Below are 22,793 nucleotides of genomic sequence, written 5' to 3'. Positions count from 1 at the left end.
CAACCAATTCTTTAGTTCAAGCTTTTCAAATTTATCCTAAGTCCCCTTCAAATAGCACAGAGAAGTGGAAGCCTATCGCTGGGGTCTGAGACAAAGGAGTTAAAGCACCTACATGTTGACATAATTTTACTTTAAATTCTTCTTTCTTCTTTAAAAGTTCTGCTCATTTGCATTCTCCATGGAGAGAAAAAGTAAATTATACTGACGCTCCGAGAGGGAAACGCTCTTCTCACATGGGGATCCTTGCTCATGGCAACAACCTGTGCACCCCGCGGGCTGGAACTCCCACGAATCCACTAGGCTCGGCTCCCTTAGGGGTCAGCCCCCATAGTATGCTGGGATCAACCTGAACGGATCACAGCTCAAGGCTTCTGAGGCTTTTTCTGTTCGGGACTGTATTTCCCAGCGGCCACCGCGCCAGTCCACTTCCGGTCTCCGGGGTCGACGACATAGCGGGGTAAGGTCTTCACGTCTGAGGAAGAGATCTGTGGCTGCGGGAGATCTCTGCGGATTGGGGCTCCAGCCTGACTGACCCGACAGTGCGGGTGGCCTAGGGGGAGGCGCTCAGAGTAGGAACCCGGGGGTGCAGACGGGATCTGCCGGATCCCCAGGCGTGTGTGTGCGCGGGTATCAGAGGAGGGGGATTGTGAGATCATGAGTGACGGAGGGGACTGTGAGTGTGTGCGTGAGGTTCTATGCACAGGCCCGGGAGGGCGTGTGGACGCAGCGCACTTTGCTGAGTGACACTGTGCCGGTGCCCCTAGGCTCCTGCTGCTTCCTCCCTCTTTCCGCTTCACAGCTGCGGGGACTGCAGCAGAGGAATGGCCCCAGTAGGGAGGTCAGATATTGAGCCGAGAATGAAGCTTTACACAAGAAAGCGCAGAAGTGCCCCCGAGTGTTCCCCAGGGGGGCAGCTACATGTTGAGAACCACAGCGTCCTCAGAGCTCTGTCCCCAGAAACCAGCTCCAAACTGGTTGTACTGGTTGAATCGATTCCTCTTCCTTTTACTTCCTTCCTATTTCGTGTGAAGTGAGGGAAATTGTGGCTATGGAGGGAGGGTGTTTTCAAACTTAGTCTGCGCTCCAAGAAATGCCTGGAGTCTCACGCTTGCCGTATCCTTCTCCAGTCGTATTTTTATCCAAAAGAAGGACCTGGAGGAGGATGAGAGCGTTACTGCTGCACACCTAAAGTCAAGGGTGAGTTTGTGCTTTGTATTTGTTCAAGACATGCGTTTTTGATTTTAGAATATTGAGATTTCCCCTTAAATTTTCAGTGAAACTAGGGGGATATGCAAATTGATTCGTGCCCCCTCCTTCACCTTTCCACTTAATAGTCACAAAACAATTTGGCAAATCGTTCACACCTTCCTGTGCGCTCTCTTTTTCGAAGCTGGTATAGAAATACACCTCCAGTAGTTAATATTAAAGCTCCATTTTAGACCCATATTTGGGAAGGAGGAGATTAGTGTTTAGGTGGAATCACACACTAGACATCAGTTGGTCTTTACAGACCTCCTTTTCAAAACAGGGAAGAATGGAGATGGTTGGATGATCTCCATTGCCTGTGAGGCATTCGGTAGTGGAAAAGTGACCGCACAGAAATTGGTATCAACAAGAGCCAGGATTTTTCCAGGGAGTCCATGAGATGATATTTGTAATACTTGCCAGATCTCTCTGAGGTTTGGCAGCTCCAGTTGTGTTTTAGGCGTGTGTGTGTGAGTGTGTGTGTGTGTGTGTGTGTGTGTACTGTGAGAGGCAGTACACTGTTGTGGTTAAGAATAGGGGAGTGGATCCAGAGTATCTGGGTTGGAATATTGGTTCTGTCATTAGAATGAATTAATATCGTAAAGCCCCTTAGAGCAGTGCTAGGCATATAATAATGTTTAATATGTTTTAACTGTTGTTTTTTGTGTAGTCATTTTAAGTCATTCCCCTTGACTCTCTACAGAACAGGAGCATTGGGAATATGTGATTCATTGCGACTGCTGGTTGTATATTAAGAAAATGAGTGAGGGGCTCAAATGATCTAGGACAGAAATTCTTTCTTTTTAAATCGACAGATATAATTGTATGTATTTATCATGTGCAACATGAAGTTTTATGGTATGTATACATTGTGGAATGACTAAATCTAGCTAATTAACAATGCATTACCTCACATAGTTATCATTTTTGTGGTGAGAACACTTAATATCCACCCTCCTAGCATTTTTCAAGACTACAGAATATTGTTATTAATTGGAGATACCCTGTTGTGTAATAGATCTCCTGAACTTATTTCTCTTATCTTCCTGAAATTTTGTATCCTTTGACCAACATTTCCCCAGTCAACACTGCCCTCCTTCCTCCCTCACCCACATTACCCCAGATCTGTAAATACGATTCTACTCTCCACTTCTATGATATCAACTTTTTTAGATTTGGCTGAAGAGTGAGATCATATGTCTTTCTGTGCTTGGCTTACTTCACTTAATATGATGTTCTCCAGGTTCATCCATGTTTTTGCAAATGACAGAATTTCCTGCTTTTTATGGCTAAATAGTATTCCCTTGTGTAAATATACCTGCATATATACCACATTTTCTTTATCCATTTATTCATTGTTAGACGCGTAGGTTGATGCCATATCTTGGCTATTGTGAATAATGCTGCAATAAACATGGGTATGCTGATATCTCTTTGACATACAGATTTCATTTCCTTTGGAGATATATTCCCAGTAGTGGGATGGCTGGATCATATGGTAGTTCTATTTCTAATTTTTTGAGGAACCTCCATACTGTTTTCCATAATGGCTGTGCCCATTTACATTCTCACCCACAGTGTGTAAGCGTTCCCCTTTTCTTGCCAATACTTGTTAACATTTGTCTTTCCAGTAGCCACCCTAACAGGTATGAGCTAATATCTTATTGCGGGTTTAATTTTCATTTCCCTGATGATTAGTGATGTTGAGTATTTTTTCATAAACTGTTGGCCATTTATATGTCTTCTTTTGGGATGTGCCTGTTCAGGTCCTTTGCCCATCTTTTAATCAGGTTTTTTTTTGCTGTTGAGTTGTTTGACTTCTGCATACATTTTGGATCTTAATCTCTTATCATATATATGGTTGCAAATATTTTCTCTCATTCTACAAGATGTCTCTTCACTTTGTTGATTGTTTCCTTTTCTGTGCAGAAGCTTTTTAGCTTGACATAATTTCATTCGTTCATTTTTGCTTTTGTTACCTGTGCTTTTGAGGTCATATCCCAAAAAAAATCATTGCTCAGATCAGTTTCACAGAGCTTTCCCCCTATGTTTTCTTCTATTTGTTTCATAGTTTAGGATCTTACATTTAAGTCTTTAATCTGTTTAGAGTTGATGTTTGTATAATGGTTTGAGATAAGGGTCTAATTTCATTTTTCTGCATATGGATACCTACTTTTCACAACAGTATTTTTTGAAGAGTCTCTCTTTTCCCCATTGTATGTTCTTGGTACCCTCCTCAAAACTCGGTTGGTTATAAATATATGGATTTATTCTGGGCCTCTCTATTCTGTTTCTTTGGTCTATGTGTCTGTTTTTATGTCAGTACCTTGTTGTTTTGGTTACTATAGCTTTGTAGTATATCTTGAAGTCAGATAGTTTTGATGAGTCCAACTTTGTTCCTTTTGCTCAAGATTGCTTTGGCTATTTGGGTCTTTTGTGGTTCTATACAAATTTTAGCATTTTTGTTTTTTTCCTGTTTCTGTAAGGAATGTAGGACAGAAATTCTTAACCTGAGTTCCTGTGACTCCATTTATGGTCTCAGGGACCAAAAGCTCTTGAAATAAAATATTGAAGTATTATAGAAATTTATAAATGTGGGTTTTAGGGGGAGAAATAGTGTATCATTTCATAAGATTATCAAAAAAATTTATGTGACCCATGAGGTTTGGATCCATTGATCTAGATAGAACATTGGTTCTCAGCTGGGGTGATGTTTAGAAACTTTCGGTTGTCATGCTGTCGGGGAGGGTGCTACTTAGATCTAATGGATAGAGGTCAGGAATGCTGCTAAACATTGTGTTATGCACAGGATAGCTCTCCCCACTCTCCCATCTAAGAATTATCCAGCACAATATGTCAGTAGTGCCTAGGGTGAAAAACTGTAGTCCAGAATCAAAAGATTGTGATATCTGGAATGACATTGTAAATGATCTTGTATAAAATAAGTGTCCTATAATACAGAAATCATTAAGCTAATCATACTAGACTCAAGTGATAGAGTATTACACAGGTAATAAAATGATGTCTATAAGGAATTATGAAAAGAAAAATATTTGATATATCATTAAGCAATATTCATGCTATGAACAATAATACTCAAGAAAATGTTACATGGGGCGGGGCGCGGTGGCTCACACCTGAAATCCCAGCACTTTAGGAGGCTGAGGCAGGCAGATCATTTGAGGTCAGGAGTTTGAGACCAGCCTTGCCAACGTGGTGAAACCTTGTCTCTACTAAAAATATAAAAACTAGCCGGGAGTGGTGGCAGGCGCCTATAATCCCAGCTACTCAGGAGGCTGAGGCAGGAGAATTGTTTGAACCTGGGAGGCTGAGGTTGCAGTGAGCCGAGATCAGGCCACAGCACTCCAGCCTGGGTGACAGAGTGAGACTCCACCCCTGCCCCCCAAAAAGAAATTGTTATGTTTTATATGAATCCCATATACTAAGATAGGGTTTTTGTATAAGAATTCTATAAGAATTCTATCTGAAGGCATTCTATAAGAATTATATCTAAAATAATATTTTAATTGGTTATTTGGTGAAGAAGGGAACCAAGCATGGTGGTGTATATTTCACAAATTTTCTCACATAGTTTGCAAATGCCACTTATCTGCATTGTGTTCATTCAAAGAAGAATCTTGATAATGAGAATATCTAATTATATTGGTGAGATACAGCTAAAGGATATTAGAACTAGCTGATGTTATTTGTTGTAGTCACTTTAACCTCTTTTGTTGAATCTCGTGACAGGCTCAGGTTTTTTTCCTGATAACTCTGTTTTTATTTTTTACTTCAAAAGTAGAAATAGACTATCATTAATGCATACAAGACATTGGTTGGGGACTTGTAGACAATTTTTTCTAGAGATTGCTCCAACATACATAGAAAAACATAGACATCTTAGTGTTGGTCAAGAATTGGAAAATAAAGGAAACAAACTTGTTAAGTAAAAACAACAGTTCATTAGAGTATGCTGATTTCCCACCCCAAGTTCAAAGGGAGATATCTAAATAAAAAGTGTCTTTCATCTAATTTGGAGAAGTTTCCTCATAGGAAAGAAATGTGTATGTACATTTATATATGTCCATATATAGAGATGCATACACACACACACACACATATATATATATAAATATATATATACACACACACATATATATATACACACACGTGTGTGTGTGTGTGAATATAACTATATATATTCCAAGTTAATGCTTGGATGTAGTTACAATTTTTTTTTATATGAAGGCTCGCTCTGTTGCCAGGCTGGAGTGCAGTGGCACGATCTCAGCTTACTGCAACCTCCGCCTCCTGGGTTCAAGCGATTCTCATGCCTCAGCCTCCTGAGTAGCTGGGATTATAGGCATGCACCACCACACCCAGCTAATTTTTGTATTTTTAGTAGAGACGAGGTATCACCATGTTGGCCAGGTTGGTCTCGATCTCCTGACCTCGTGATCTGCCTGCCTCAGCCTCCCAAAGTGCTGGGATTACAAGTGTGAGCCACCGTGCCCGGCCATGAAATGCTCTTAAGCAAAAAGAAGAAAATTGGAGCTACAATACACAGAGGAGAACTCTTAACATGTATATAATTTTCTAAATTTTTTTCTATTAATGTCTGTTAGTCTTTTTATTAGTATTTCTATATACATATATTTTACAAATGTAATCATATTATCTATCCTGTTTTGTAACCTGATTTTTCTGTTAATCATATATCTTGAACGTTTAATATTTACTTTGTATTCTATTAAGTGGATGTTCTGAACTGTATTAACCAACTGGCTTTTGCTGAATTTAGAATGCTGAACACTGTCAGTGCAATTTGGTGCAAACACTGCCAGTGCAAATATGCTTTCCAGTTCTCATGCCTTCCCCCACTGCACCCAATCCTGATTTCACAAAGAGGTTCTGGTTTGGATGATGCAATCCCTTCTCAGCTCTGAAAGGTGGGACTGGGGGAGGAGGATCTGCTAAGGGCAGGATCAGAGGTCCAGACCTAGGCCAAGATAGGTATCCCAAGAATGGAGGACTGGCTGGAAGCCACAACTTCAAGGCAGAAATGCCTGTGCTCGGCATTCATGCTTCTGCCGCAGGTTCCCTGGGATGCAGGCGAGAGCTTGGTTTCATCCCTACTCCACCCGTTCACTGCCAGCTATTTGTGAGAGAGTGTGTGTGGGGGCAAGGGGAGTGATGGGAGAAGGGTGGAAGTGTGCGTGTTAGCAGGAGTAGTTGAGAAATAGGAACGGAGGATAAAATAGTTATTTGCTTTTGAGACACAGCTTTAATTGTGGCCTTTTTGTTGTTGTTGTTTTCCAGGGGAGAAGCCCGAGGAAGATTGACCAGTTTTGTAATTCTAGCAACATGGTCCATGTAAGTTTGTATTTCTCTCTTTTCCTTGAAATATGGTGACTTTCAGGTTAGGTGACTGTTATTATTTAACCTGAAGCTTCGTACCTAGAATTCACGATCTTACACCCCAGTTTGTCCCATTACAGTGAAGGTTGGTGACAAAAAAAAAAAAAGTCACTGCTCTTCCTATTTGTACCTCTGTTTCCTACTGGCTTTGATGTTTTCTTTGAAAAAGTTATTCAGTCTGTGCTCTGTGCTCAGACCTTGGTCAGGAAGAATATTGGAACAGTGGAGGAATCAGTCCCCACAGGGAAACAGGGTCTTATGGGTTTGATAAGTTACAGATGATTGACCACACTTGGGAACACTTTGAAACTTTACAGACTAGAGCTTTCCAGGTAGCTAAGGTAGAATTCCATAGTGAGTAGCCTCAGTCTGCAAGTGTGACAAGGTGATCTGCTTTATGAGGCTTTTAGGAAAATGATAGGTGAGGACAGTGGGCAGTAGCAGGGAGAAGATAATTCAGGGCATGAATGATAGGTGATTACAGATTCTCTGGCTGGACATGGTGGCTCACGCGTGCAATCCCAGCACTTTGGGAGGCCGAGGTGGGTGGTGGATCACTTGAGGTCAGGAGTTTGAGACCAGCCTGGCCAACATGGTGAAACCCCATCTCTTCTAAAAAAAGAAAAAAAAAAATTAGCCTGTTGTGGTGGTGCGCACCTGTAATCCCAGCTGCACAGGAGGCTGAGGCAGGAGAATCGCTTGAACCTGGGAGGTGGAGGTTGCAGTGAGCTGCGATCGTGCCACTGCACTCCAGCCTGGGTAACAGAGTGAAATTCTGTCTCAGAAAAAAAATAAAAAATAAAAAATTCTCAGAATTGGGGAAATCCTTAGAGGCCCTGGCCATCCTCAACGTATAAATAGAAAAAAAATGAATAAATCTAATATGTGAGTTCTATTGACTTTAATGCAGCTTATAAAAATCAGTTGTCATGACAAGAAAAAATACTTTTGCTGTCATCTCATACCATAATGAACTTGAGGATTAAGAACATTCTTTAATTGTATGCCACCTTTTTTTTTTTTTTTTTTTTTCTCTGAGACAGAGTCTTGCTCTGTGGCCCAGGCTGGAGTGCAGTGGCGTGATCACAGTTCACTATAGCCTTGAACTCCTGGGCTCAAGCAATACTCCTACCTCAGCCTCCCGAGTAGCTGGGACTACAGGTACGTGATACCACACACAGTTACTTATTTAATTTTTGCAGAGATGGGATATCATTATGTTGCCCAGGCTGGTCTCAAATTTCTAGGCTCAAGCAATCCTCCTATCTCTGCCTCCCAAAGTGCTGGGACTATAGGCATAAGCCACCATACTCAGCCAGCAGGAGACTTCTTGAAGAATGTGCAGGCACTCTGTGAATTTCCATATTGCTTTTTTCTTACACTACACTCCTTCACTTCCTCTCCTTTCATCTTAAAACAACTTTCTTCAGTTTCACCATTATACATGTGTTTGTGGTTTCAGGGATCAGTGACATTCAGGGATGTGGCCATTGACTTCTCTCAGGAGGAGTGGGAGTGCCTGCAGCCTGATCAGAGGACCTTGTACAGGGATGTGATGTTGGAGAACTACAGCCACCTGATCTCACTGGGTAAGGTCGTTGAGTCCCAGCTATTTTTATATCTATTTTCTGGAATATCAGCTTTCTTCACCGTGAATTTCAGGGCTATCTTTTAAGAGGTGGCTGAATTCCTTCTTCTTGTTCCCAAAGGAATGGATTGGGATTTGTTGGGTTGAAAACAGGCACCTCCCTGGAGCCCCTGCATCTTGCCTACTCCACAATGGCCTCCTTCGTTACGCTGGTCCTCTCTGTAATTGCCTCTCTCTTCATGACCATGGGGCTGAATTTGAAATCTTGTACATTCATTGAAAGATATTGTCTAAGAACCAGATTTCATATTATGTTTGATCTCAGAATTACTGTAGATTTTCTGTTTGTTGGTTTGTTTTTGTTTTTCTAACCCATCTGTAAGGAGAAGAGTGTCTTGAATTTTTCTATCAGAGAAACCTCTATGATCACTGGGAGGTTGAGGCTGCAGTGAGCTGTACCCATCACTGCACTCCAGCCTGGGCAATAGACCGAGACCCTGTCTCAAAACCAAAAACAAACAAACAAAAATGTCTGTTATTTACGTATACTGATTGGGTTGACAGAAATTCATTTAACACTAAAGGGAATGCATTTCATTTCCTTCAATAAACATTCCATTGTTTTGCAGTTGAAAGTTTCAGACCATGGAGTTTATGTATTTTCATTTAGTGAATATACTGAGTGAGCTATAAATGTCTAAGGATGCAAAATAAATGACAATAATAAACAATAATTCTTGACTTTGTGCTACTGTACATCAGGCAATGTTAGAAGTATTTTGCATATATATAACTTATTTTGTCTTAGTATCAATCCTATAAAATAGGTATTGTATCATCCCCATTTTAGAGTTGGGAAAACTGAAGGACAGAGTTTAAGTGACTTACCTGAGGTCATACTGCTAGTGAGTAGCAGAGATAGGATTTGAACCTGGCAGTCTGGATTGAAGTTTCCTGCTCTCAACCATTCAGTTATACCTCTTTTCAAGGGATAAGATTCTGAGTTTAAATGAAAGGAAGTCCTTTTCTAACATAGTTAGAAAAGAGTTCTCTTACTCAACCTCTCACTCTTATCTGAAGTCTCTTTTCAATATTGTTTTGACTTGTAATTTATTGTAAGTTTAAGCAGGTCACAAAGATTTGAAAAAAAAAAATCTGTATTAAAAAAATTCTACATGTGTCGTTTCTTTTAAGCAGGAAGTTCCATTTCTAAACCAGATGTAATTACGTTACTAGAGCAAGAGAAAGAGCCCTGGATGGTTGTAAGGAAAGAAACAAGCAGACGGTATCCAGGTAAGTGAGGGTAAAGCAGGCGGGGGGAAGCCATCATTGTCCTGGACATGTGCTCAGAAAGGAGTCATACACTTGAGATGTGGTTTGAAAAGCTTTCTTCAGTGACCCAAGTCCTGTTGGATAAAAATGCCCAAGACCTGGGAAGGAAATAAAGATTACAGCAGAAGCCATCACCAAGGAACTTCATCATTTACTAATCACCTAATTTCTGTTCTCTTATTTCCTTCCCCTTTTAGTGGAGTAAGTTCCCTCTTTTTTTCCCAGGGTAAACTTTTTTTTTTTTTTTAAGGTGGAATCTTGCTCTGTCCTGCAGTGTGGAGTGCAGTAATCTGATCTTGGCTCACTGCAACCTCTGTCTGTTGGGTTCAAGCAATTCTCATGCCTCAGCTTCTCAAGTAGCTGGGATGACGGGTGCCCACCTCCACACCTGGCTAATTTTTGTATTTTTAGTAGAGATGGGGTTTCACCATGTTGGCCAGGTTGTTCCTGAACTCCTGACCTCAGATGATCTGCCCGCCTCGGCCTCCCAAAGCCCTGGGATTACAGGTGTGAGCCATCGTGCCCAGCCCATTTGCCAACTTTTTAATTGGATTTTTTTTTTTTTTCCTGTTATTTGAGTCTCTTGTCAGAGAAATAGTTTGCAAATAATTTCTCTCATTTAATTTTGTCTATTCCCTCCGATGATAGTTTCCTTTGCTCTGCAGAAGCGTTTAGTTTAATATAGTCCCATTTGTCTATTTTTGTTTTTGCCGCCTATGCTTTTGCAGTGTTAACCAGAAAATTTTTGCCTAGGTCAATGTCCTGAAGCACTTCCTTTATGTTTTCTTTTAGTTGTTTTATAGTTTTGAGTCTTACATTTAAGTCTTTAATCCATTTCCAGTTGATTTTTGTATACGGTGAGAAATAGGGGTCTGGTTTCATTCTATCACATACGGATATCCAGTTTTCCAGCACCATTTATTTATTTATTTTTAATTTATTTTCCAACTTTTATTTTAGGTCCAAGGGGTACATAAGTGGGTTTTTTATATGGGTAAATTGCATGTTGTGGTGGGTTTGGTGTGCAGATTATTTCACCACCCCGGTAATAAGCATAGTACCCAATAGGTAGTTTTTGGATCTTCGTCCTCCCACCCTCTACTCTCAAGTAGGCCCTGATGTCTGTTTTTCTGTTCTTTGTGTCCATGTGTACTCGGTGTTTAGCTCCCATTTATAAGTGAGAATATGTAGTATTTGGTTTTCTGTTCCTTAATTAATTTGCTTAGGATAATGGCATCCAATGCCATCCATATTGCTGCACATAATCTTGTTCTTTTTTATGGTTGCATAGTATTCCTTGGTGTATATGTACCACATTTTCTTTATCCAGGTAACCATTGATGGACATTTAGGTTGATTCCATGTCTTTGCTATTATGAATAGTGCTACAATAAACATAGGCATTCATGTGACTTTAGGCTAGAACTATTTTCTTTTTTTGTTTCTTCCTTGTCTGGTTTTGGTTTCATGGTATGCCAGCTCCATAGAAAGAGTTAAGGAGAATTCCCTTCTCTGAAATTTTTTGGAATAGTTTGAGGAGAATTAGTTCTTTGAGAGTTTGGTAGATAGAATTCAGCAGTGAAGCCATCAGTCCTGGAGTTTTCTTTTTTGGGTGACATTTTATTACTAATTCAATCTCATTACTCATTGGCCTGTTCAGCTTTTCTATTTTGATGATCTTTTCTGTTTCTGTGGTGTCAGTGGTAATATCTCCTTTTTTTATTTCTGATTTTGCTTATTTCTTCTCTTTTCTTCTTGGTTAGTCTAGCTAGTGGTTTATTAATTTTATTTATGTTTTTTAAAAAACAACCTTTCATTTCATTGATCTTTTGTATTATTTAGCCTGTATTTTATTTAGTTCTGCCCTAATTTCATTAGATCGTTTATTTGAAATCTTTCTGCTTTTTCAATGTAGGTGTTTATTGCCATCAACTTTGCTCTTAGCAGTACTTTTGCTGTATCCCATAGGTTTTGGTATGTTGTATTCTGATTTTCATTTGTTTCAAGAAATTTTTTAATTTCCTCCTTATGTTCTTTCTTGACCCAGTGGTTATATAGGAGCAGGTTGTTTAATTTTCATGTGTTGTACAGTTTCCAAAGTTCCTCTTGTTACTGATTTCTCATTCTATTCCATGTCTGAGAAAAGACTTGATATAATTTTGGTTTTGAAGAATTTGTTAAGAATTGCATCCTAACATATGGTCTATCCTAGAGAATGTTCTGTGTGCTAATGAGAAAATGTGTATTTTGTAGCTATTTGATGAAATGTTCAGTAAATGTCTGTTAGGCCTGTTTTGTCTAATGTGAAGTTTAAATCCAATGTTTCTTGTTAATTTTCTATCTAGATGATCTGTGTAATTCAGAGTGGGGTGTTGAAATCCCCAATGATTATTGCACTGGAATACATCTCTCTCCCTTTTGATCTAATAATATTCACCTTATATATCTGGGTGTTCTGGTGTTGGGATTATAGTATGTTTAGAATTGTTATATCCGCTTGCTGAATTGATCCCTTTATCATTATACAGTGATCTTCTTTGTCTCTTTTTTGCTGCTTTTGACTTAAAATCTTTTTTGTCTGATATAAATATAGCTATTCCTGCTCACTTTTGGTTTCCATTTGCATGGAATATCTTTTACCATTCCTTTACTTTCAATCCATATATGTCTTTACCAGTGAGATGAGTCTGTTGGCAGCATATAATTGGGTCACTTTTTAAAAAATCCATTCCATCTATATCTTTTAGATGAAAAGTTTAATCCATTTACGTTCAATGTGATTACTGATATGTGAGGGCTTATTCTTGTCATTTTATTAATTGATTTCTAGTTGATTTGTGTATCCTTTGTTCCTTTCTTTCTCTTTTATTTTTCATCATTGTGGTTTGGTTGTTTTCTATAGGGGTAACATTTGGGTTCTTTCTGCTTATTTGTGTTTGCTGTGTCAGTGGGTTTTATAATTTTGTGTGTTTTCACAATGGCAGATATTCTTTCACTTCTAGGTGTAGGACTCTTAAGCATATCTTGTAGAGCTGGTCTGCCCTCAGCTTTTGCCTGGGAAAGATTATTTCTTCTTCATTTATGTTTTATAATTTGCTGAGGATAGTATCCTTGACTGGCAAGTTTTTTCTTTCAACATTTTGAATATACCATTTCATTCTCTCTCATTTCTTTCTGTTGAGAAATCTGCTGTTCGGCTAATGAGAGTTCCCTTGTAAGTGACTAGATGCTTTTCTCTTCCTGTTTTTAGTATTCTCTCTTTGTCTTTGACTTTTATATTTTGACCATAATGTGCCATGGAGAAGACCTTTTTGTGTTGTTATGTATTTGGGTATCTCTGAGCTTCCTGTATCTGGATGTCTACATCTCTTGCTAGAATTGGAAAGTTGCCAGCTGTTATTTCATTAAATAGATTTTCTTTCCTTTATTTTTTCTCTTCATCTCTGGGACCTCAAAATTTCAAATATTTGGTTGTTTTATGATGTCCCATATAGGGTCTTTGTTTCTTCTTCTTTTTTTGTTTTTCTATTTTTGTCTGACTGGGTTATTTCAAAAGAATTGGCTTTATGTTCTGAGATTCTTCTACTTGATCTAGTCTGTTGTTGAAGATTTTGAATGTATTTTATATTTTATTCAATGAATTATTCAGTTTCAGAATTTCTGTTTGGTTCTTTTTTATAATGAAATTGGTAAGTTTCTTCTTCTTATCCTGAGTTTTTTTTTTCTGATTTGTTTGTATTGTTCTTCCGAATTCTCTTGTATCTCACTTAGCTTCTTTAATATAATTATTTTGAATTCTTTTGCTAGGATATAGCATTTTTCTCCCATTGGAATGTTTCTGGAGAATTATTATGTTCCTGTGGAGATGTCAAGTTTCCTTCTCTTTTTTTTTTTTTTGTTATTTCCTGTGTTTATTCTCATTTTTTTGAATTTGCTTTTGTAGGGGAGGCTTTTTTCCTAAAGATGTACCTATGGTTAATAGGGTTGGATAGGGCATTTTCGCTTTGATTCTGGGCGTGTGCAGTAGTGTTGTTATGTAGTGTTATGATTTTTTTTTTGGCTGTAAACAGTGCCTTTGGTGTCTGTGATTTCTTCCTTGGCTTTGGTTGTGATGGTTAGTGGAGGGTATGGTGAAGTTTTATTGGGGATGAGGAGTGATATAGTTTAGATATTTTCCCCTCTAAATCTCATGTTGAAATGTAATCCCCAGTGTTGGAGATGGGGCCTGGTGGGAGGTAATTGGATCATAGGGGTGGATTTCTCATGAATGGCTTAGCACCATCCCCTTGGTGCTGTCCTCACAATAGTAAGTGAGTTCTTGCAAGACCTGGTTGTTTAAAAGTATATGGCACTTCTTCTTGTTCTCTCTCTTGTTCCTTCTCTTGCTGTGTGACATTCTTTGTCCTGTGTTGCCTTCTTTTATGAGTAAAAGGCCCCTAAAGCCTCCCCAGAAGCTGAGAAGATGCTAGCGCCATGTACAACCTGCAGAACCATGAGCCAGTTAATACTCATTTTTTCGTAAATTACCCAGTCTCAGGTATTCCTTTAATGCAAGAATGGCCTAGCACGAGGACACAAGGTAGGCAAGTCCTTGGGCTCTGGTGGTGGCAGTGGCAGTCCAGATGTGCCTGTTTTGGGGCCCCAGCATAGTGTATGCTGGTACTAGTATTAGTGTGTCTAGGCACGTTGATTCTTTGGCCTCCTCGTAGTTTGGATAGTGCTGGCAGTGGTAGTGGTATGCTGGGTAGGTGGATGGGTTCTTGGATTCTTGGGCAGCAAGTGTGGCATGGGTGATGGTAGTAGTAGTGAACAGGACAACCTTCTGGCTCCCAAGCAGTAAGTGCTTAGTGTTGGAGGTGACTATGATGGGCTGGGTGGGCCAGTCCCCAGAACTTCCGGTTGTGAGTACAGGTGGGTACCAGTTGTGGAGGAAACAGCAGGTTGTATGTGTCTGACCTTAGGCCTCTGTGATGAGTGCTTAGGTAGCAAAGGTGGTAGATGGATCAGGGTGATCCCCAGGTCCCCAGATGGTGTGCTTGGGGACTTGGGCACAGAGCTGGGTCTGCTGGACCTGACCTTAGGCCCCCCAGTTGTACGTGCTGGTTCTTGTGGTAAGCAGGGGTGGGGTGATCCCCAGGCCCCTGGCAGAATGCTGCTGTTGATTTTCTTTTCCAATGTGAGTTGAAATTTTCTTGTATATGCCAGTATATTTGGATTGTATCCTGGACATTCTAATTACTGACTATGAAACTATGGGTCTCATGGTCTTAAGTCCTATAGAACATATCAATATGTTTCAACAGATAGTTGACCTAGTTAGGTTCAATCTTCTGTGGTTCATTTTCCTATTTTTACATGTACATAACCAGGCTGGCTCAGATGTGCATTTGCTTCCACTGGAAACAGAAGTGATATGAGAAAGGTTCTATCTACCAACTTTGTTGGTTTTGGCTAATAAAATCAATAAAGGTTTTATTGGTTTGAATTGATGGTTTCAGTTGACAAAAGGACTTTGTATGCATGTGTGTTATACGAAAATAAAATAGGTTTGCTTTCTTCATTTCTTTCAGATTTGGAGTTAAAATATGGACCTGAGAAAGTATCTCCAGAAAATGATACCTCTGAAGTAAATTTACCCAAACAGGTTATAAAGCAAATAAGTACAACTCTTGGCATTGAGGCCTTTTATTTTAGAAATGACTCAGAATATAGACAATTTGAGGGACTACAGGGATATCAAGAAGGAAATATCAATCAAAAGATGATCAGCTATGAAAAACTGCCTACTCATACTCCTCATGCTTCTCTTATTTGCAATACACATAAACCGTATGAATGTAAGGAATGTGGGAAATACTTTAGTCGTAGTGCAAATCTTATTCAGCATCAGAGTATTCATACTGGAGAGAAACCCTTTGAATGTAAGGAGTGTGGGAAAGCCTTTCGACTTCACATACAATTTACTCGACATCAGAAATTTCATACTGGTGAGAAACCTTTTGAATGTAACGAATGTGGAAAGGCCTTTAGTCTTCTTACCCTGCTTAATCGCCATAAGAACATTCACACAGGTGAGAAACTGTTTGAATGTAAGGAATGTGGGAAGTCCTTTAATCGTAGCTCAAACCTTGTTCAACATCAGAGTATTCATTCTGGTGTAAAACCATATGAATGTAAGGAGTGTGGGAAAGGCTTTAATCGTGGTGCACACCTTATTCAGCATCAGAAAATTCATTCCAATGAGAAACCCTTTGTATGTAAGGAATGTGGGATGGCCTTTCGATATCATTACCAACTTATTGAACATTGCCAAATTCATACTGGTGAGAAACCCTTTGAATGTAAAGAATGTGGAAAGGCGTTTACTCTTCTGACAAAGCTTGTTCGACATCAGAAGATTCATACTGGTGAGAAACCCTTTGAATGCAGGGAATGTGGGAAGGCCTTTAGTCTTCTCAACCAGCTTAATCGCCATAAGAACATTCACACAGGTGAAAAACCGTTTGAATGTAAGGAATGTGGGAAGTCCTTTAATCGTAGCTCAAACCTTGTTCAACATCAGAGTATTCATGCTGGTATAAAACCATATGAATGTAAGGAGTGTGGGAAAGGCTTTAATCGTGGTGCACACCTTATTCAGCATCAGAAAATTCATTCCAATGAGAAACCTTTTGTATGTAGGGAATGTGAGATGGCCTTTAGATATCATTGCCAACTTATTGAACATTCTCGAATTCATACTGGTGACAAGCCATTTGAATGTCAAGACTGTGGGAAGGCCTTCAATCGTGGCTCAAGCCTTGTTCAACATCAGAGTATTCACACTGGTGAGAAGCCCTATGAATGTAAGGAGTGTGGGAAGGCTTTTAGACTTTACCTACAACTTTCCCAACATCAGAAAACTCACACAGGTGAAAAACCATTTGAATGTAAGGAATGTGGGAAATTCTTTCGTCGTGGTTCAAATCTTAATCAACATCGAAGTATTCATACTGGAAAGAAACCCTTTGAATGTAAGGAATGTGGGAAAGCCTTTCGACTTCATATGCACCTTATTCGACATCAGAAATTGCATACTGGTGAGAAACCCTTTGAATGTAAGGAGTGTGGGAAAGCCTTTCGACTTCATATGCAACTTATTCGACATCAGAAATTGCATACTGGTGAGAAACCCTTTGAATGTAAGGAATGTGGAAAGGTTTTTAGTCTTCCCACCCAGCTTAATCGCCATAAGAACATTCACACAGGTGAGAAGGCATCTTGAATGTAAGGAATGTGGAAAGTCCTTTAATCGTGTCTCAAACCATGTTCAACATCAGAGTATTCGTGCTGGTGTAAAACCATGTGAATGTAAGGGGTGTGGGAAAGGCTTCATTTGTGGTTCAAACGTTATTCAGCATCAGAAAATTCATTCCAGTGAGAAACTCTTTGTATGCAAGGAGTGGAGGACGACCTTTAGATATCATTACCACTTATTTAACATTACCAAATTCACACTGGTAAAAAACCCTTTGAATGTAAAGAATGTGGAAAGGCCTTCAGTTTTCTGACACAGCTTGCTGGACTTCAGGTCATTCATACTGGCGAGAAGCCATTTGAATTTGAGAAATGTGGGAAGGCCTTCAATAGTGGCTCAAACCTTGTTCAACATCAGAGTATTCATACTGGTGAGAAACTCTATGAATGTAAGGAGTGTGGGAAAACTTTCAGATTTAGTTTGGTCCTGACTGCACATCAAAGAATTCATACTGGTATGAAACCCTGTGAATGTACAGAATGTGGGAAGACCTTTAGTTGTAGCTCAAACATTGTTCAACATGTTAAAATTCATACTGGTGAGAAACGCTATAATGTAAGGAATATGGGAAAGCATTTGCTGTGGATGATCAGCTGTCTCAACATCAGAAAATTCAGAATAGTTAGAAATTTTGTGACAATAAGGAGTGTGGACAAGCCTTCACTGTGTACGAAAAATTTACTCAACACCAGAGAGCTCATATTGATGAGAAATCTTGTGAACATAAAAGAATGTGTGAAGAACTTTCATCATGGCCTGGGATTTGCTCAACTTCTGAGTATTCATACTTCTGAGAAATCTTTGAGTGTAAGGAATGTGGGGCGTTTTATAGCCACACTAAATACCTTAGAGTTCGGAGAAGATAATTCTTGTGAGAAAGTCTTTGAATGAGGAATATAGGGTAGTTGTCATGTTCACAATGTACTCCCTATGAAATAATTTACCAGATACAGGCATACCTCGCTGAATTGTGCATTGCAGTTATTGTGTTTTATACAAACTGAAGGTTTGTGGCAACCCTGTGGTGAGCAAGACGATCAGGTCCATTTTCCCAACGTCAGGTGTGCATTTCATGTCTTTATGTCACATTTTGGTAATTCTCAGAATATTTCAAACTATTTCATTGTTATATATCTATCATGGTGATCAATGACCAGTGATTTTTGATGTTGCTATTGTAATTGCTTTGGGATACCACAAATTCTGCCCATAAAAGATGGTAAACCTAGTTGATACTTGTTGTGGGTTTTGAAAGAATAGTCAAATATACAATCATATACCCCAACCTAGATTCAAAATTGTTAACAATTTGCACGTTTATTTTTTGTATATTTGTTGTACCATTGAGAATAAGTTTTAGACATCATGACACTTTACCCTTTATTTAATCAACGTGTGTATCAACCAAACATGAAGACAATATAGACAATATCATATAGCCATTGTACCATAATTACCGTTAAGGAAAGTATTCATAATTCTGTAATATCATTCCATTTTCAGATTTCTTCATTGGCTTCCAAACCATCTTTTACAGCTATTCATATTCAAAGGAGAATCCATTGCAGAATCTGCATTGCATTTGGTTATCTCTCTTTAGTGTATTGTAGCCTGGAAATCCTATGAATGTAGGCGCTCAAATTTTGGTAGGTATTAGAATCAACAGTGGCACTTAGTAAAGCTACAGAGGCTTAAGCCCTAGCTTATAATTCTGGGCCTCTATGTTTTTTATTATTTCTCCAGGTGATTGTGATACCAACCAGAGTTAGAGAGCCACTGACCTAGAACATTTCTCCTTTCTCCTCATTCTTCTTTTTTTTTTTTTTTTTGCAGTTGCAAGATTTAATAGAGTGAAAACAGAGCTCCCATACAAAGGGAGGGGACCCAAAGAGGGTAGTCGTTGCCGGCTCGAATGCCTGGGTTTATATCCTGATCATTGTCCCTCCCGCTGTGCTCTCAGGCAATAGATGATTGGCTATTTCTTTACCTCCTGTTTTTGCCTAATTAGCATTTTAGCGGGCTCTCTTTCTTACCTGATGGGTCGGGTGTGAGCTGAGTTGCAAGCCCCGTGTTTAAAGGTGGATGTGGTCAACTTCCCATCTAGGCTTAGGGATTCTTAATCGGCCTAGGAAATCCTGCTAGTCCTGTTTCTCAGTACCCCCTCTCAACAGGAAAACCCAAGTGCTGTTGGGGAGGTTGGCCAACAACTGCTCTAATTGCTTCCTGCTGAATTGGGGTGTAGTAGGGGTTGTGCAGTTGAGATTTCCTCTGGAGGGGTGCCTTCGATGTCATTAACATTGGAGCATGGGCTAGCAGGCCGGTCCAGGGGTCCGCGGTAGATTTTAGTCATGGACTGCATCTGGGGCTCCATTTGAAGAATGAGTTGTGGCTTTACAGCTTCGATTCTGGAAAAGACAAACTTAACAAGGAGGTTAAAGATACAGAGATTGAAATGTATGGCCTGCAGTGCAGGGGATTATTTCTTTGGCACACTTCACAGGCCCTGACTATCTGCTTGATAGTTTTGAAAAGGCCTGGTCCATCTCCTCATTCTTAAAAAATGAGATTGAATTTTGATTAGCCCAGGAAAATTGTCTATGTGTTTAGATTTCTTTCTTTATAGTGTCATTTAGTGTTGTTCTCTTTGTTGCATATTCTGTACAAGGGAATTTGAGTCCAGAGGCTCTGTTAGGTCAGATTAAACATTTTGGGGAAGAATACTTTGTAGGCTATTTGTATGGCATATTTCACTGTCAGAAAACATTTAAGTACAGGTCCTTGCATTAGTGAAACTAAGTTTGATCATTTGGGTAAGCTGGTAACCGCCATAAGTCCATTGTAAAGATCTAATTTGTAGTGCATAAATAATCTATGGAGAGACTTTGACCTCTGAATATTTATAATCATGTGTATTTTAGCTGTGGATTGAATACAAAATGAAAATTGAAATAGACTATTCAAAAATGAATGCCATTAAGGTTGTCAACATAAGTCAACTTGTGTGATAAGGCTGACAGTATATTCAGTACAAAATTAGCACCCTCTAGTTTATTCAGGGAGCCAAGATTATTTTGTCTGGAACCTTGTTTTTGTTCAGCATTTATCATCAGCACCTATACATCATGGCTGGTATGTGAGCTGTTGATAAACTTTGAAAAAAATTAAGCCTTTAAATCAAGCTATAAAACATGATACCATTGTGGCATCATGAATTAGAGAGATTAACTTTTTTAAAGATCAATAATAATCCTTTGTGATTTTATTCCAGTGCATTTAAAAATCTATAAAATGATAATTTATATTGATAGCTTTCTTCTTTTTGTGAATATATCCTTATCAGATTATTATGCTTTTGATAGACTACTTAATTCTATTTCTTAACATTTAATTGTATCTATAATCATAGGTAAAGTTATAATTTTCTAAACATTTTTCAGGTTTTGTTAATGCAGTGATCTTATAAATCTTACAAAACGAGGCTATTTAAAACCTGGCTTTCTAGTCTCATGTTCCTATTTTTTATTTCCACTTTCATCTTTTTCATATTGATTCTCTTTGACTTTCTTTTTTGAACTCAACAGATTCCCTGGGTATTAACCCAGCACAACTCCTTTATGGGTCATTGCACATTCTGGTATCTCATTAAGAATTGTCATAAAAAAGAGATCCCAGGAGGCCTTCCAGTGAAACTCTATCATCATGCAATCTTGGGATTTCTAAGTTGGAAGTCACAGTCCCTTTGCAAACATAATAAAACACTTTAAAATATTTGCTAAAGTTACAAACCAATTATGTAAAAATTTAAAAATCACCTACTACTTTTAAAAGCAGAGAAGGCATCCATAGACTATTTCCTTGCTTACAAGCTCAGTGAACATACTGAATTCACTTATAAAAAGAATTTTCTCAATTTTAGTTGCTTTTCAAAAAATTCTTATTCCTTTTATTTGTAATTCTTTGACATTGTTGCTGCTTCACAGTTTTGGTAATTGGACAGTTTGGTCTTTATTATGATATTAACATTTTTACCTGTCCTGAAACAAGGAAATACAATCAAAGAAACAGAAGATTGGTGGACCTTGAACCACATTATGATATCAGATGACCCAGAGTCATGGTTACTAAGTTGCTTAAATTTTTAGTAACAAAGATGTATTAGAAAGTGACAGGTCAATTCAATAATGGTTTTTTTGGATACATTTAATTATATAATCCCCTTAAGTTGTGCTTAGTCAGCAGTATTTAATCTGTTGTCTATTATATATCTAACTGGTCTGTTATGTTTATTATATATTTATATATTGCTTATTCATATCTTATTGGAGTAACTCATTTTTAAAACAATATATTTCATCTCCTAGGAGAAGAGGATCGAGTATGTGTTTTTATTCTTTTTCATTAGGACATTGGGGTATTTTCTTATTGTGAAATGTATTGAATATTTCATTTATTTGGTTTGTGAGTCTGACCTTCACTCCCTAGCACTGATTTTTATTTGGCCCTCCTTTTACCTGATTCATAGGAGTTACGAGTAGCCGTTAATATGGATACATTTTTCCCATTTCTAGTACACTGCCCCTTCCAAAAGTGTCTGGCTTACTCAAACTTTTCTGTATTTGTTCCATCTTGCTTTTACAGATCAATACAAATAGGTAACTATACCTTCTAAACAAACATCAAGTTGGTGGAAAAAAGGCATATGAACAGTTCTTTCTCACCTACTATCAACAAACAGTAAATTAAACATTCCTAACTGCAGCCTCCTTTTGTAAAATTTATAACCATTTATCTTTTGAGTGTGACATGATACTAGATGTATGATAATTACATGTTTTGTGTATCAGTATGAACATGATTTTTAACAGACTTGTTCCAATGAACTATTATAGAGATGGTCCCCAACAATGTCAACTAACAATTTCTCAGCTTTATGATGGTACAAAAGTGATATGTTGCTATAGTTTGGATATTTGTCCCTCCAAATCTCATGTTGAAGTTTGATCTCAGTGTTGGAGGTGGGGCCTAATGGAAGGTGTTTGGGTCATGGTGGAAGATCCCTCATGAATAAATTAATGCCCTCTCTGGATTGAGGGGTGAGTGAGCTATCGCTCTGTTAATTTTTGTGAGAGCTGGTTGTTCAAAAGAACCTGGCACCTCCTCCCTCACCCTCTTGTTTTCTCTCTTGCCATGTGATGTCTGCATACACTGGCTCTCCCTTCATCATCTGCCATGAGTGGAAGCAGCCTGAGACCCTTAGCAGAAGCAGATGCTGCACCATGATTCTTGTACATTCTGCAGAACAGTGAGCCAAATAAACCTCTTTATTAATCACCCAGCCTCAGATATTCTTTTGTAGCAATACAAAATGGACTAAGACATACTCAGTCAGAGTATGCTCCTCAAACTAAGATGGGGCTATGTTAAGTTGAAAATATTGTAGGTCATAAATACACATTTGGCATATGATGTTTTCAATTTGTGATGGGTTTATTTGGATATAACGCTGTCATAAGTTGAGAAGCATCTGTAGTAATTATGATAATTTGATGTGTAGCCAGTAGGAGTCCAGTTACATTTGTTTTTTTGACTTCTTTTTTTCTTTTTTTTTAAATGAATATTGTGTTCAGGTCCTAAGAAGATGTTTTAGACTGATCCTTCTTTGTTGGTCCATGTTCCCCATGCCTCTTGTCCTGAGTCATGGAATCAACCCATGATTCAGTACCCTCGTAGGGTGTCCTGGTTCTATTTAGAGGAAAAGAGCCTTTGAGACCAAGAAATCTGGCTGCTATGGGTGCACATGGCAGTTACAGGTATGGAAGAAGATGCTGGTTTTGTTAGAATTCTTTTAATAGTTTCAGAGTAGAAAATGTCATTGTAAGGTCAGAAGTTCACTCTGATTTTTCTCAACTTACA

The 22,793-nt window shown here is 38.6% G+C and overlaps 1 protein-coding gene across 11 annotated transcripts, besides 2 other annotated features; it reads left to right on the top strand.

Annotated features, from left to right (window-relative positions):
• Positions 146 to 687: an enhancer, noted in NCBI's record as "H3K27ac hESC enhancer chr19:40596583-40597124 (GRCh37/hg19 assembly coordinates)". NCBI's record gives its function as "activates a minimal SCP1, AML or CMV promoter by ChIP-STARR-seq in primed H9 embryonic stem cells {active_cell/tissue: H9 hESC(primed)}" and the evidence as "EXISTENCE:reporter gene assay evidence [ECO:0000049][PMID:30033119]".
• Positions 269 to 598: a silencer, noted in NCBI's record as "fragment chr19:40596672-40597001 (GRCh37/hg19 assembly coordinates)". NCBI's record gives its function as "represses an EF-1alpha promoter that drives an FKBP-Casp9 reporter gene in an ReSE screen in phorbol 12-myristate 13-acetate-treated (for megakaryocytic differentiation) K562 erythroleukemia cells {active_cell/tissue: K562(+PMA)}" and the evidence as "EXISTENCE:reporter gene assay evidence [ECO:0000049][PMID:32094911]".
• On the top strand, positions 420 to 22,211 carry ZNF780A (zinc finger protein 780A). 11 transcript variants are annotated; one of them, NM_001142579.2, is made up of 9 exons: positions 420 to 457; positions 1,128 to 1,197; positions 1,949 to 2,103; positions 6,565 to 6,618; positions 8,126 to 8,252; positions 9,449 to 9,544; positions 15,154 to 15,227; positions 18,384 to 18,526; positions 18,714 to 22,211. In NM_001142579.2, the coding sequence occupies exons 3-8, from the start codon at positions 2,101 to 2,103 to the stop codon at positions 18,504 to 18,506; spliced, it is 477 nt and encodes a 158-aa protein (NP_001136051.1). In that variant the 5' UTR covers positions 420 to 457; positions 1,128 to 1,197; positions 1,949 to 2,100; the 3' UTR covers positions 18,507 to 18,526; positions 18,714 to 22,211. The 11 variants fall into 11 exon arrangements, with proteins under 11 accessions (NP_001136051.1, NP_001136050.1, NP_001136049.1 ...); NM_001142578.2 differs by lacking the exons at positions 1,949 to 2,103; positions 18,384 to 18,526; positions 18,714 to 22,211 and having other exon boundaries at positions 15,154 to 18,318; NM_001142577.2 differs by lacking the exons at positions 1,949 to 2,103; positions 18,384 to 18,526; positions 18,714 to 22,211 and having other exon boundaries at positions 9,446 to 9,544; positions 15,154 to 18,318.
• The last annotated feature ends 582 nt before the right edge of the window (positions 22,212 to 22,793 follow it).

Source organism: Homo sapiens, chromosome 19, assembly GCF_000001405.40.
Source record: "Homo sapiens chromosome 19, GRCh38.p14 Primary Assembly".
In the NCBI taxonomy this organism is placed as follows: Eukaryota; Metazoa; Chordata; class Mammalia; order Primates; family Hominidae; genus Homo; species Homo sapiens.
The sequence above is the reverse complement of the archived record's forward strand: the minus strand, read 5'-3'. Positions and strand labels throughout refer to the sequence as shown.